The 13,212-nt window shown below is 45.4% G+C and overlaps 2 protein-coding genes across 3 annotated transcripts in view, besides 7 other annotated features; one reads left to right on the top strand and one right to left on the bottom strand.

Moving 5' to 3' along the window:
* Positions 1-11,655, bottom strand: part of ACYP2 (acylphosphatase 2) — a 334,188-nt gene extending 322,533 nt beyond the window's left edge. For both annotated transcript variants that reach the window (NM_001320586.2, NM_001320587.2), the window contains exons 1-2: positions 11,447-11,655; positions 8,958-9,055 (exon numbers count right to left, since the gene is read on the bottom strand). In NM_001320586.2, coding sequence (NP_001307515.1) covers positions 8,958-9,019 — 62 coding nt within the window. In that variant the 5' untranslated portion in view covers positions 9,020-9,055; positions 11,447-11,655. The remainder of the gene's footprint in view (positions 1-8,957; positions 9,056-11,446) is intronic.
* Positions 11,257-11,306: an enhancer, noted in NCBI's record as "active region_15756". NCBI's record gives its function as "activates an Ori minimal core promoter by ATAC-STARR-seq in GM12878 lymphoblastoid cells {active_cell/tissue: GM12878}" and the evidence as "EXISTENCE:reporter gene assay evidence [ECO:0000049][PMID:35858748]".
* Positions 11,507-11,896: a silencer, noted in NCBI's record as "silent region_11483". NCBI's record gives its function as "represses an Ori minimal core promoter by ATAC-STARR-seq in GM12878 lymphoblastoid cells {active_cell/tissue: GM12878}" and the evidence as "EXISTENCE:reporter gene assay evidence [ECO:0000049][PMID:35858748]".
* Positions 11,507-11,932: a biological region, named in NCBI's record as "Sharpr-MPRA regulatory region 11857".
* Positions 11,602-11,896: an enhancer, noted in NCBI's record as "tiled region #11857; HepG2 Activating DNase unmatched - State 1:Tss, and K562 Activating DNase matched - State 1:Tss". NCBI's record gives its function as "activates a minimal TATA promoter and a strong SV40 promoter by Sharpr-MPRA in HepG2 and K562 cells {active_cell/tissue: HepG2 | K562}" and the evidence as "EXISTENCE:reporter gene assay evidence [ECO:0000049][PMID:27701403]".
* Positions 11,771-11,932: a silencer, noted in NCBI's record as "fragment chr2:54197973-54198134 (GRCh37/hg19 assembly coordinates)". NCBI's record gives its function as "represses an EF-1alpha promoter that drives an FKBP-Casp9 reporter gene in an ReSE screen in HepG2 liver carcinoma cells and phorbol 12-myristate 13-acetate-treated (for megakaryocytic differentiation) K562 erythroleukemia cells {active_cell/tissue: HepG2 | K562(+PMA)}" and the evidence as "EXISTENCE:reporter gene assay evidence [ECO:0000049][PMID:32094911]".
* PSME4 (proteasome activator subunit 4) overlaps positions 11,775-13,212 on the top strand; it is a 106,925-nt gene continuing 105,487 nt past the window's right edge. The window contains exon 1 of the mRNA NM_014614.3: positions 11,775-12,225. Coding sequence (NP_055429.2) covers positions 11,984-12,225 — 242 coding nt within the window. The 5' untranslated portion in view covers positions 11,775-11,983. The remainder of the gene's footprint in view (positions 12,226-13,212) is intronic.
* Positions 11,907-12,106: a silencer, noted in NCBI's record as "silent region_11482". NCBI's record gives its function as "represses an Ori minimal core promoter by ATAC-STARR-seq in GM12878 lymphoblastoid cells {active_cell/tissue: GM12878}" and the evidence as "EXISTENCE:reporter gene assay evidence [ECO:0000049][PMID:35858748]".
* Positions 12,163-12,927: an enhancer, noted in NCBI's record as "H3K27ac hESC enhancer chr2:54196978-54197742 (GRCh37/hg19 assembly coordinates)". NCBI's record gives its function as "activates a minimal SCP1, AML or CMV promoter by ChIP-STARR-seq in naive H9 embryonic stem cells {active_cell/tissue: H9 hESC(naive)}" and the evidence as "EXISTENCE:reporter gene assay evidence [ECO:0000049][PMID:30033119]".

The following is a 13,212-nucleotide window of genomic DNA, read 5'->3' as shown; positions in this document are numbered from 1 at the left end:
ACATTTGAGTCGAAGCAGTGCCAAACTGGGACAACAGAAGTCTCATGCTAAGACAATCACTCAACAGGGGTAGTTTAGCAAGAGTCAAAGGTTAGAGATGAGAGTGACCATAAAAATATAAGTCGCACCTTTCAAAATTGATAAAACTTATTGGATGAGCGATTGAATTCTAGGCAGTGGGTGGAAGGGAGTTTGAATTAGTTTTATCTAGAGATCTTAAGATATAGGTAAACCCCAGCTGACATTTGGTTATAGTTTTGTCTGTTTTCATATCTGTCAGTCTACTAGAAAGTGAACTGCTTGAGGACAGGTACTGTGTCATTCATCTAACGATCTCTGACTTGGCACTCTGGGGACATAAATAAATGTTTACTGAATTAATGAATATATAATACACACTGGAGAACTAGGGATTTGATATATTATACCTTTTATGTGTCTGTAAATTTCAAAAGGTATTCTGCTTAGTACAAAGAAATAGATTGGAAATAGTAGCATTTCAAATATCAGATGTGATCAAGTGTGAATGTCTTGCTGGCTATTCAAATTATGCATGCAGATAATCCCATTGTCTGCCTGTGAGCAAAGCCTGTCCTATTTATACATATAAAAACTGGGGGGTAGGTGGAAAGAGTGTACGTCCTCTTTGTGCATTAGTTATTATCTCTTCACTGACTCTATTGTGAATCTTTTCAATTACCATTAAAAAATACATCTCTTTACTATATTTGATTATGAGGGAAGCTGTCACCTCCTACATTATTCATAGCTTGACAAAAAGAAGAAACACGAAAAGCTTTGGTGGTGCTGAAAAATTCTTTTAGTATTTAAATATCAAATAAACGTTTTAATAAATTTTTTATCATTAAATAAATACATCACTTAATGACGGAGATATGTTTGAGAAATGTATTGTTAGGCGATTTCATCATTGTACAAACATCAGAGTGTACTTACACAAACCTGGATTATGTGTCCTATTATACACCTTGGCTATATGGTGTAGCCTATTGTTTCTGAGGCAGGAGAATAGGGTCTGGTGGCAGGTAACCTAAGGCTGATTCACACTGACTTCCTAGAACTAAATCTAAAGGAAAACCCCAACTTTCCAAAACTAAGTAACAAAAGGACCAGAGGCCACTCCCTTTGCAACCCCCCTCCCCTTTTTATGCGTGGCAAATGGAAAATTGAAAGTATCTCTGACTGGTTTCTTTCCGCAACCAGTCAGACTGATTGCAAGCCAAGTCTTCTTTTGCTTAGGAGTTTAACTTTGTAACTTCACTTCAGCCTCTGATTGGTTGCTTTCCACAACCAATCAGACTGATTGTGGGCCACTACTTCACTTACATAGGGGGTACACCAAGTGGACAATGGGAAACCAGAAAATTCTGTAATAGGAAAATTATTGAGCCCCTATGCTCAGCCCACTCCCACCCTGTGGAGTGTACTTTCATTTTCAATAAATCTCTGCTTTTGTTGCTTCATTCTTTCCTTGCTTTGTGTGCTTTGTCCAAATCATTGTTCAAATTCCAAAAACCTGGACACCCTCCACTGGTAACACTTCTAGGCTGTGTAACACTTCTAGGCAACAAATCTGTACAGCATGTCCGTACTGAATACTACAGGCAATTGTAACACAATGGTAAGTAGTTGTGTATCTAAACATAGAAGAGGTGCAGTAAAAATACAGTATAAAAGATAAAAAATGGTACATCTGTTCCGGTGTGGTGGCTCACACCTGTAATCCAAGCATTTTATGAGGTGGAGGTGGGTGAATGGTATGAGCCCAGGAGTTCGAGACCACGTTGGGCAACACGGCAAAACCCCATTTCTACAAAAAATAGAAAATTAGCAGGACATGGTGGCACACACCTGTAGTCACAGCTACTCGGGAGGCTGAGGTGGGAGGATCACCTGAGCCTAGGGAGGTTAACCCTGCAGTGAGCTGTGATTGCACCATTGCACTCCAACCTGGGCAACAGAGTGAAAGCCTATCTAAAAAGAAAAAAAAAAAAGTACACCTATACAGGGCGCTTACCATGAATGGAGTCTGTAGGACTAGAACTTGCTCTAGGTTATGTCAGTGACTGAGTATGTGGTGGGTGAATGTGAAGGCCTAGGATGTCACTATACACCACTGTAGACTTTATAAACACTGTATGCTTAGGCTACACTAAATTTATAAATGGTATTTTCTTTATTTTTTTATTTTTTATAGAGATGAGGTCTCACCACGTTGCCCAGCCTGATCTTGAACTCCTAGCTCAAGCAATCCTCTTGCCTTGGCCTCCCACAGTGCTGGGATTACAGGTGTGAACCACAGCTCCTGGACTCAATATTTTCTTTCTTCAATAATAAATTAAATTTAGCTTACTGTAACTTTTTCTTTTTATAAAAAAAAAAAATTTTTTTTTTGAGACAGGGTCTCACTCTATCTCCCAGGCTGGAACACAGTGGTGAGATCCTGGCTCACTACAGCTTCCACCTCCCAGGTTTAAGCAGTCCTCCCACTTCAGCCTCCCAGGTAGCTGGGACTACAGGCACATTCCATAACGCCTGGCTAATTTTTAAATTTTTTGTAGAGATGGAGTCTTGCTATGTTGCCTCTTGGTAACATAGCTGGTCTTGAATTCCTGGGCTCAAGTGATCCTCCTGCCTTGGCCTCACAAACTGCTGGGATTAGAGATGTGAGCCATGGTGCCCAGCTATGAACTTTTAAATTTTAACTTTTTGACTCTTTTGTAATAATACTTAGCTTAAAAAAACAAACACATTCGGCCAGGTGTGGTGGCTCACGCCTATAATCCCAGCACTTTGGGAGGCCAAGGCGGGTGGATCACTTGAGGTCAGAAGCTCCAGACCAGCCTGGCCAACATGGTGAAACCTTGTCTCTACTAAAAATACAAAACAGCCAGGCAGGGTGGCACAAGCCTCTAATCCCAGCTACTAGGGAGGCTGAGGTGGGAGGATCCCTTGAGGTGGAGGTAGCAGGGAGCCAAGATCACGCCACTGCACTCTAGCCTGAGCCACAGAGTGAGACTCCATCTAAAAACAAAAACAAAAACAAAAAAACACACACACATTGTACTGCTGTACAGAAATATTTTCATATCCTTTTTTTTTAATTTTTTTTTTTATTTTTGAGACAGAGTCTCACTCTGTTGCCAGGCTGGAGTGCAGTGGCACAATCTCGGCTCACTGCAACCTCCACCTCCCGAGTTCAAGTGATTCTCCTGCCTCAGCCTCCACAGTAGCTGGGACTACAGGTGCATACCCCCATGCCTGGCTAATTTTTTTATTTTTAGTAGAGATGGGATTTCATCATGTTGGCTAGGATGGTCTCAATTTCTTGATCTCTTGATCTGCCCTCCTCGGCCTCCCAAAGTGCTGGGATTACAAGCGTGAGCCACCAGACCCAGCTTGTATCCTAATTTTTTATGTGCTTTTCTATTTTAAAACTTTTATATATTTTTTCTTTTTAAGTATTTTTTGTTAAAAATGAAGACACAAACACACACATTAGCCTAGGCCTACACAGGGTCAGGATCATTAATATCACTCTGTTCTACCCCCACATCTTGTTGCACTGGAAGGTCTTCAAGGGCAATAACACGCATGGAGCTTTCATCTTCTATAATAATAATGCCTTCTCGAATCCCTACTGAAGGACCTGCCTGAGGCTGTTTTACAGTTACCTTTTTTTTTTTAATAAGTAGAAGGAGTACAATTTAAAATAACAATACAAGGTATAGTATAGCAAATACATAAACTAGTAACAGTCGTTTATTATTATCAGGTATCACGTGCTGTATGAGTGTATATGCTATACTCTTTTTTTTAAGTTTGAGATGAGGTCTTACTCTGTCATCCAGGCTGGAGTGCAGTGGCACGATCTCAGCTCAGTGCAACCTCTGCCTCCCAGGCTTAGGCCATCCTCCCACCTCAGACTCCTGAGTAGCTGGGACCACAGGAATGTGCCACCATACCTGGCTAATGTTTTTGTATTTTTGGTAGAAGGTTTTGCCATGTTGCAAATATATATTTTTGAATATTTGAGTTTTGTCATGTTGTCCAGGCTGGTTGTGAACTCCTGAGCTCAAGCCATCTGCCCACCTCGGTCTCTCAAAGTGCTGGAATTACAGGTGTGAGCCACTACCCCCAGCCTGTGCTATACTCTTATACAAACTGGAAGTGTAGTAGGTTCGTTCACATCAGCATCACCACAAACATGTGAGTACTGCCTTGTGCTAGGCTACCCACACTCGGTTATAGGAACTTTTCAGCTCCATTATAATCTTGTGGGACCACTGTCTATGTGGTCCTTACTTGACCAAAACATCATTATGCTGTACATGACTATATAACTTGGTGGACAGGTATCATTAATCACCTGCATGATTTGATGAGGACTCTAAGAAAGCTCTTAATCATCCACAGTCACTCCATTTTGCTCCCAATAATTTCTATAATATTTTAGAATTAGAAGTTCTTTTTTTTTTTTTTTTTGAGATGGAGTCTCACTCTGTCACCCAGGCTGGAGTGCAGTGGCACGATCTCAGCTCACTGCAATCTCTGCCTCCTGAGTTCAAGCAATTCTCCTGTCTCAGCCTCCAAAATAGTTGGGATTACAGGTGTGTGCCACCATGCCCGGCTCATTTTTGTATTTTTAGTAGAGATGGGGTTTCTTCACGTTGGCCAGGCTGATCTCGAACTCCTGACCTCAAGTGATCCACCTGCCTCAGCCTCCCAAAGTGCTGGGATTACAGGCGTGAGCCACCATGCCCAGCCAGAAGTTTATTTCTTAATGGTTTTCCAGCTCTAGATGTGGCAGCCTCAGCCAGGAATGGTTGTATTAAACATAACAACAGATAACCATAAATGAGCTCACACACAAAAAAAGGAAATCTCCAGATGCCAGAAACAGAGGAAAGGAAAGCCAGAATGTTAAGTATGTGAGGTGACTGAATCAAATTTGAGGCAGCGTTACTGGATCCAGAAACAGCAAGTGACTTGGGCTTTTTTTTTTTTTTTTTGAGATGGAGTCTTGCTCTGCCACCCAGGCTGGAGTGCAGTGGCACAATCTCAGCTCACTGCAACCTCCCTCTCCCAGGTTCAAGCGATTCTCCTGCCGCAGCCTCCTGAGTAGCTGGGATTACAGGCGCATGCCACCACACCCAGCTAATTTTTTTGTATTTTTAGTAGACATGGGGTTTCACCATGTTGGTCAGGCTGGTCTCAAACTCTTGACCTCGTGATCTGCCCACCTCAGCCTCCCAAAGTGCTGGGATTACAGGTGTGAGCCTGGCAGTGACTTGGGTTTTAATATCTACCCAGGGATAGAAGTTGAAGGCTGAGACCTAAGGGAGTTGGAAGTAAAATACTGCATAAAAACAGAACTCTCCACAGGTTAAATTCCCAGGCCTGGCCAGGCGCGGCGGCTCACGCCTGTAATTCCAGCGCTTTGGGAGGCTGAGGCAGGCGGATCATGAGGTCAGGAGATGGAGACCATCCTGGCTAAATGTGAAACCCCGTCTCTACTAAAAATATAAAAAATTAGCTGGGCGTGATGGCGGGTGCCTGTAGTCCCAGCTACTCGGGAAACTGAGGCAGAAGAATTGCTTGAACCCAGAAGGTGGAGGTTGCAGTGAGCCCAGATCATGCCACTGCACACCAGCCTGGGCAACAGAGCAGGACTCCATCTGAAAAAGAAAAGAAAAGAAATATGGATATTAGAATGAGAAGGTAAAACAAATGTCTAATAGGAATTCTACAAGGAGTACAAAGAAATTACAAAAAAATAGTGAAAATTTTGCATAATTGATGAAGATGAATCTTTTGATTCAAGAAATACAAATCCCCCCAAAAATAAACAAAAAGAAGCCCACATCTGGCTACATTTTAGTGAAATGACAGAATGCCTAACAAATGCCTAAAATAATGAGAGAAAAATTCATTCCTTTAGCTGTGATTTTCCTTATGAGAAACTGAACTCCACATATACTCTAGTTCAAATGAAGTGAAGTAGATACAATGGCTGGATGAAAATGATTTTTGAAGGAAAAATTCAAAACTTAAAAATCCTACAGGAACTAGAAAAAACTCAACATTTCTCAGATCTAATATTCTTTTTTTCCTCCCAAATCTTCAGACCAGATCTAATATTCTTGTTCCTCTAATAACTGCAATTCAGCAGAAGTCTGGATATTTAATTACATTGCAATGAATCATTCTAATTCAAATACTTCTAAAGATTACGTTTCTGGCCAGGTGTGGTGGCTAACCCCTGTAATCCCAGCACTTTGGGAGGCTGAGGCGGGCAGATTGCTTGAGTCCAGGAGTTCAAGACCTGCCCGGGCAACACATTGAGACTCTATCTCTACAAGAAATTAAAAATTAGCCGGACATGGTAGCATGCACCTGTAGTCCCAGCTACTTGGGAGGCCAAAGTGGGAGAATCACTTGAGCCCAGGAGGTGGAGGCTGCAGTGAGCTGTGATTGTGCCATTGTACTCCAGCCTGTAAGAGAGTGAAACCCTGACTAAAAAAGAAAAAAAAGATTATGTTTCTGGCAACAGAGATTCATTCACTTGCCAATATATCTCTAGCCCCAAGTATATCATATATACAGAGAAAACTAAGATGGGCAAGATGTGACACTAATAACCTGTCATTTTTTGTTCACTGCTAATAAGTGATTAATTAGTGTTCCAATAAGCACATCAAAGACATAAATATTTGATTGAAAATTGTCTCTGCTAATCCCTCCAGCTGGAGAAGGAACCTCTCTCTTTAGAATATTTTCTTTGAAGGGCCACTGCATTTTCTGGGTCTTGCAAGAAGAGTGATTATAGTCTGTTTCCTTGAGGGTCTGATAAGAAGTCAGTGTCTCCCTCCAGGTCTGGTTAAAAGGATAACATCCTGTTTTTTTTGTTTGTTTGTTTGAGAGTCTCGCTCTGTCACCCAGGCTGGAGTGCAGTGGCGCGATCTTGGCTCACTGCAACCTCTGCCTCCCGGGTTTAAGCGATTCTCCTGCCTCAGCCTCCCAAGTAGCTGGGACTACAGGTGCATGCCACCACACCCAGCTAATTTTTTGTATTTTTAGTAGAGACGGGGTTTCAGTGTGGTAGCCAGGATGCTCTTGATCTCCTGACCTTGTGATCCGCCTGCCTTGTCTCTCCAAAGTGCTGGGATTGCAGGCGTGAGCCACCCAGCCCAGCCTCAAAAGGATAACGTGCTGTTATCCTTTGGCAGTGTCTCCTGACCTTCAAGAGATAACAAGTTGGACTGAGAAGAGAAAATCCACCCCAGACTTTGGGTTACTGTCTCCACTAATGAGCAGACCAGCTCCCCGAAAGAAAGGTCTTCTAACTTTCTCACTGGGAAGCATTTCAATAGTGTTCTCCATGAAACTTTATTTAGAATAAGAGGAAGAGACCTTATTTTGCTTGCTCCCGTAAATTCTTCAACTTTTCCAGTTCAGATGTTTGTTTCTAGGGAGCTCATTGTCATCTGGAACTGCTTCTCTGAATTTTTTTTTTTTTTTTTGAGACAGAGTCTCGCTCTGTCGCCAGGTTGGAATGCAGTGGTGTGATCTCAGCTCACTGCAACCTCTGCCTCCCGGGTTCAAGCAATTCTTCTGCCTCAGCCTCCTGAGTTGCTGGGACTACAGGCGCACGCCACCATGCCAGGCTAATTTTTGTATTTTTAGTAGAGACGGGGTGTCACCATATTGGCCAGGCTGGTCTCTTCGAAATCTTAAATCCAAACATTTCTATTCTTCTAGATCCCTTGCTCAGGCGAATCCTTTCATCTTTCCCTTATAGCTCATCAGCATGTAAGTGTCTTGACATCTCTCTTCTCCTTCCCTATTAGCTCTCTACTCTCTTCACTTACACGTCAACCAAACTTAGACTTTAACCACTCTCTTTCAAATATTCTCAACTCAATTATCTCTAGAGAATTCAGTGAGATAATGTAGGTAAAGCACTGGCAGACAGAAATGCTCAATGAATGATAGCTAACACTACCATCACTACTGGCAACATAAAAAACATTATCTTGATCTTTTGTCATTCTATTATACTAGTATGTCACTAGTATATACTGTATGTCACACAATCCTGGGCCACTAAACAGTATTAGGGAAAAAATCATTAAATTGTGCAGATAGATAATAGTAAATTCAAGCTTCCAGCCTTACCTGCCAAACAATTCTAACTTTTTAAATCAATTTTCTGAATTCTGAGACTACTCTAAGGCTTCTTCAATTTCCTCAAATCTACCTACCACTTCCCTATAATTCTCATTGTCTTGTTTCATAGGAAAAAATAGAAACTATAGAAAGAACTTCTCCAACTTCCAGTACCAAACATTCCAGCATCTGCACCTATGCTTCCTTCCCTGCTTTCCTCCTCTGACAATGGAAGCACAGTTTGATTTGCTTCTAAAGGTCAATGACTCCACATTCTCTTCCGCTCTTTGTCGTCCTCACCCAATATCTTTAACTTCTCTCTCCACTGGCTCCTTTTCATCCATATTTAAATATATCTAAATATGGCCGGGCTCAGTGGCTCAAGCCTGTAATCCCAACACTTTGGGAGTCCAAGGCGGGCGGATCACGAGGTCAGGAGTTCGAGACCAGCCTGGCCAATATGGTGAAAGCCTGTCTCTACTAAAAATACCGAAAAAAAAAAAATTATCTGGATGTGGTGGTGCGCACCTGTGGTCCCAGCTACTCGAGGCGCTGAGGCAGAAGAATCACTTGAACCCCGGAGGCGGAGATTGCAGTGAGCCGAGATGGATCCATTGCACTCCAGACTGGGCTACAGAGTGAGACTCAAAAAAAAAAAAAAAAAAAAAAATATATACACACACACACACACACACACACACACACACACACACACACACACATATATATATCCCACATTCAAAAATCCCTCCTTTTATTCCAAGTACCTCCTCATTGTCTCGCGCGTCCGTGGGAAGAGACCACCAAACAGGCTTTGTGTGAGCAACATGGCTGTTTATTTCACCTGGGTGCAGGCAGGCTGAGTCTGAAAAAGGAGTCAGCAAAGGGTGTTGGGATTACCATTAGTTCTTATAGGTTTTGGAATAGGTGGTGGAGTTAAGTGCAATGTTTTGGGGGCAGGGGGTGGATCTCACAAAGTACATTCTCAAGGGTGGGGAGAAATACAAAGAACCTTCTTAAGGGTTGGGGAGATTATAAAGAAACTTCCTAAGGGTGGGGGAGATTACAAAGTACATTCATCTGTTAGGGTGGGGCAGAAACAAATCACAATGGTGAAATGTTATCAGTTAAGGCTATTTTCACTTTTTTTGTGGATCTTCAGTTGCTTCAGGCCATCTGGATGTATACATGCAGGTCACTGGGGATATGATGGCTTAGCTTGGGCTCAGAGGCCTGACACTCATCTCTTTCCGGCTCTCCCTACCCCATTATTTTTTAAAAGGTTGTCCATATTTGCTGCCTCTATTTATTCACTTCCCATTTGTCCTTTGTCACCATAATCAGATTTCTATTCTACACTCCAACGACACTGTTCTTATGCGCTTTATCAATAAACTATCCAATAAACCCTTTCAGGTTTCACTTCATTTGACCTGTTAGCTACCTAAGGTAGGATTGTTCGCTTCTCCATGAGACACCCAGTTTCCTAGAACTCCTCCTCTCTCTGCTTTTTGTGAATATTCTTTGTGGCCTACCTTCCTTTTCTCTGTCTGTCCTTAAATGTGGGGCTCCTCAGAGATTTGTGAAGGGCCCTATTTTTTCATACTGTATATTTCCTTCCCTCCTGTCGTCCATCTACACGCTAATCTGCATCTCAGTTTAGATCACCCTCCTGATACATATGTCAACATACCCATCCCATAGGCATTCTGCCTCCCAAGCTGTTTCTGCTGTGTTCTTTATCTCAGTGAAGGACTTCACCTATCTACCCAGCGTCGTCTTGTCTCTTTCCTTTTTAATTTTTCACTTTCAGTCAACTACTAAGCCCAAGCCATTCTGCTGAAGTAGCTCTCAATTTCAACTGACATCCAGGCCATGATTATGTCACACCTTAAAGGGTCCTCCAGTTCCCAATCTTGTCAGTTCCAACCCATTTTCCAGACGAAGCCAGAGTGACTCTTTTTTTTTTTTGAGACGGAGTCTCGCTCTGCCACCCAGGCTGGAGTGCTGTGGCACGATCTCGGCTCACTGCAAGCTCCATCTCCCGGATTCACGCCATTCTCCTGCCTCAGCCTCCCGAGTAGCTGGGACTACAGGCGCCCGCCACCATGCCCGGCTAATTTTTTTGTATTTTTAGTAGAGACGGGGTTTCACCATGTTAGCCAGGATGGTCTCCATCTCCTGACCCCGTGATCCACCCGCCTCGGCCTCCCAAAGTGCTGGGATTACAGGCGTGAGCCACCACGCGCCTGGCCCTTTTATTTTTTGAGACGGAGTTTCGCTCTTGTTGCCCAGGCTGGAGTGCCCTGGCGCGATCTTGGCTCACTGCAACCTCCGCCTTCCGGTTTCAAGCGATTCTCCTGCCTCAGCCTCCCGAGTAGCTGGGATTACAGGCGTCCGCCACCACGCCCGGCTAACTTTTTTGTATTTTTAGTAGAGACGGGGTTTCACCATGTTGGCCAGACTGGTCTCGAACTCCTGACCTCGTGATCCGCCCGCCTCGGCCTCCCAAAGTGCTGGGATTACAGGCGTGAGCCACTGCGCCCGGCCGCCAGAGTAATTCTTAAAAAATGTAAATTATATCATCCCACTGCTATGCTTAAAATCTTTTGGAAGTTTGTCTCTAGGATAAAGCTCTGAATTCCTTAGGATTGCCTTCTCAGTCTCATTTCTCCGTCCCCTCTCTTACGCTATTTTGAACTTTGAATTTTTAGAATACATGCTTGCAGCGTCAAAGCTGTTCTCTCAGCTGAAATACGTGTCCTCCTCCCTCCTTTTTCTAACCAACTTTGCACTCAACCTTCATAGCTTAAATTAAGTATCACTTCTAGGAAAATGACACCCTCTCAAACCCCCTAGTTTCAACTTCTTTGTAGAGTTCCTAAGGATTCTTGTACTTATCTAGCAATTAAGAGCATTATCTTGTAATTCACGTCTTTATCTCTGCTAGACTAAGTCCTTGGGAGGGCGGAAACCAGGTTAAACTTTCTATCTCAATAGCCTAAACTGAGCGCCTTACACACAAAACAGCTGTTCAAATAGCATTTGTTCAGCGAGTAACTATTTTCTTCTTTGGAATGATGGCGGCCAGAATACCAGAAAGATGGGGACTTAAAGGGGACAGAAAAATTAAATCTATAAGGAACAAGCGGGATGGAGTAAATAAATCTATAAGGAGCAAGTGGGTACGTAGGCTTTTCCATAAACCCCTCTAACCCAGAAGCCGGGGCTGCTCGGCTAGGGGGACCAGGCCGACCTGGCTGCCGCCTGTCGTGGCGACTGGGACTCCAGTGGGCTGCCGCTTGGAGTGCGCGACCCCCGGCGAAGCAGGACAATAGCTTGGAATTCGGCCTCGTGTTTCCGGTGAGGCAGCCTCGCGCTGGGCCGGTGAGGCCTGGGGTGGGGGCTCCGAGCCGGGCCCACGGCGAAGAAGGCGCAGCCCGTTGGGCTCCAGCTGCCGCCACCACCGCCTCCCCCGACGCCGTCGCTCCGCCCCGCCCCGCCCCGGAAGTGACTTGAGGCCGGTCCGGAACCTCTGGGCCCGGCGGCTGCAGCGTCACCAGCAGAGCCGGTGCGGGGCGGGCAGAGCGGCCGCTGCCGCCGCCAACGAACTGAGAGCCGCGTGGGGCCCAGCAGCACGCCGGCCAGGGAAGGGGGCCTAGCGATCGGTCCGAGGGCGACGGGCCGCCAGCGGCCGCAGGGCGACGAAGACGCGGAGGAGGCGGAGCCCGGAGAGGGGTGGGGGCCGGGGAGGGTTCGGGTGGGAGGGGGTGGGGGGGGTGTCCCTGGGCTCATGGAGCCGGCCGAGCGGGCGGGAGTCGGAGAGCCCCCGGAGCCGGGCGGGCGTCCCGAGCCGGGCCCGCGGGGCTTCGTCCCGCAGAAGGAGATCGTCTACAACAAGCTGCTGCCCTACGCGGAGCGGCTAGACGCCGAGTCCGACTTGCAGCTGGCCCAGATCAAATGCAACCTGGGCCGGGCCGTGCAGCTCCAAGAGCTGTGGCCCGGGGGCCTCTTCTGGACCAGGAAACTCTCCACGTAAGTGTGCCCGGGCCTGCGGGCCGGGCCGGGGGGAAAGGCTCAGTGAGAGGTGTCGGGGATGGTTGCTCTTTGTCCAGAGGGCTGGACCCTTAGCTCTGTCCTCGCTGGAGCTGTCCCCGAGCGGTGATCCCAGGGTCGTGACAGAGCCTGTGAAGTACTCAAGCCGTCCTCCCTGCCACTTTCCTACGGGACTTCCCGGGTCTTTACCATCCCTCTACGTCCTCCGCATCTGCTTCTCCCGAAGTGTTCGGGTTGTTGTCTTCCCACCTGGGGGGCCCTGGGTAGCCCAAGGGCCCCGGCCCCGAGGGAGAGAGGTGAGCCTTTCTCAAGGGTCCTCCGTGGACTTTTGCGCATGGGAGAGGCGGGGCAAAGAGAATTTGTCTTTGGGGGAGTTCCTTGACTTGTCTCCTTGCTTCCTCCGGTTCTTCCTTCCCCTACGATCCCCGCCTCTTCGCATCTCCGTTGGCGTCTAGTAACTTTCTGAATGGAGAGAAGACCATAGGGAAACTTAAGGGTTTTGCTTTTTGGGGGCCCTCTCAGACCTGGCGGAGTTGATCGAAAAGGGTCGTTTAAAGTCAGACCTCATTCTTGAGCTTAACGTCTTATGTGGACAGTGTTGTTTTGGATTGTGTGTTGCTCCTGTTGTGACATTTCTTTTGGAGAGACATTTAAGATACTGAGGAAAGTAGGGAAGAGCACTGTCAGGATGTCCAGGGCGATATTAGTATCAGGCTTGTGTTAATTTTTTGAGTTACTCAGATTAAGAGATTACCTAAATCAGTTTCAGGAGTTCTGTTTGTAAACTAGCTTCAAACTATAGTGTCACTGAAATTAGGAAAAAAAAAAAAAAAACGAGTGAAAATACAGTGGGGGAAAAAAGGTTACATTTACTTGCTGGATGGGCATCTTTACTGTGTCCGAAGAGCTTTTTAAGAAAGAATTTTGCTGTATCTTGTTTGGTTAACTGTACATAAAATCTAGTAA

Source organism: Homo sapiens, chromosome 2 (genome assembly GCF_000001405.40).
Source record: "Homo sapiens chromosome 2, GRCh38.p14 Primary Assembly".
Classification (NCBI taxonomy): domain Eukaryota; kingdom Metazoa; phylum Chordata; class Mammalia; order Primates; family Hominidae; genus Homo; species Homo sapiens.
Note: the sequence above shows the minus strand (reverse complement) of the source record. Positions and strands in the feature narration are given on the sequence as shown.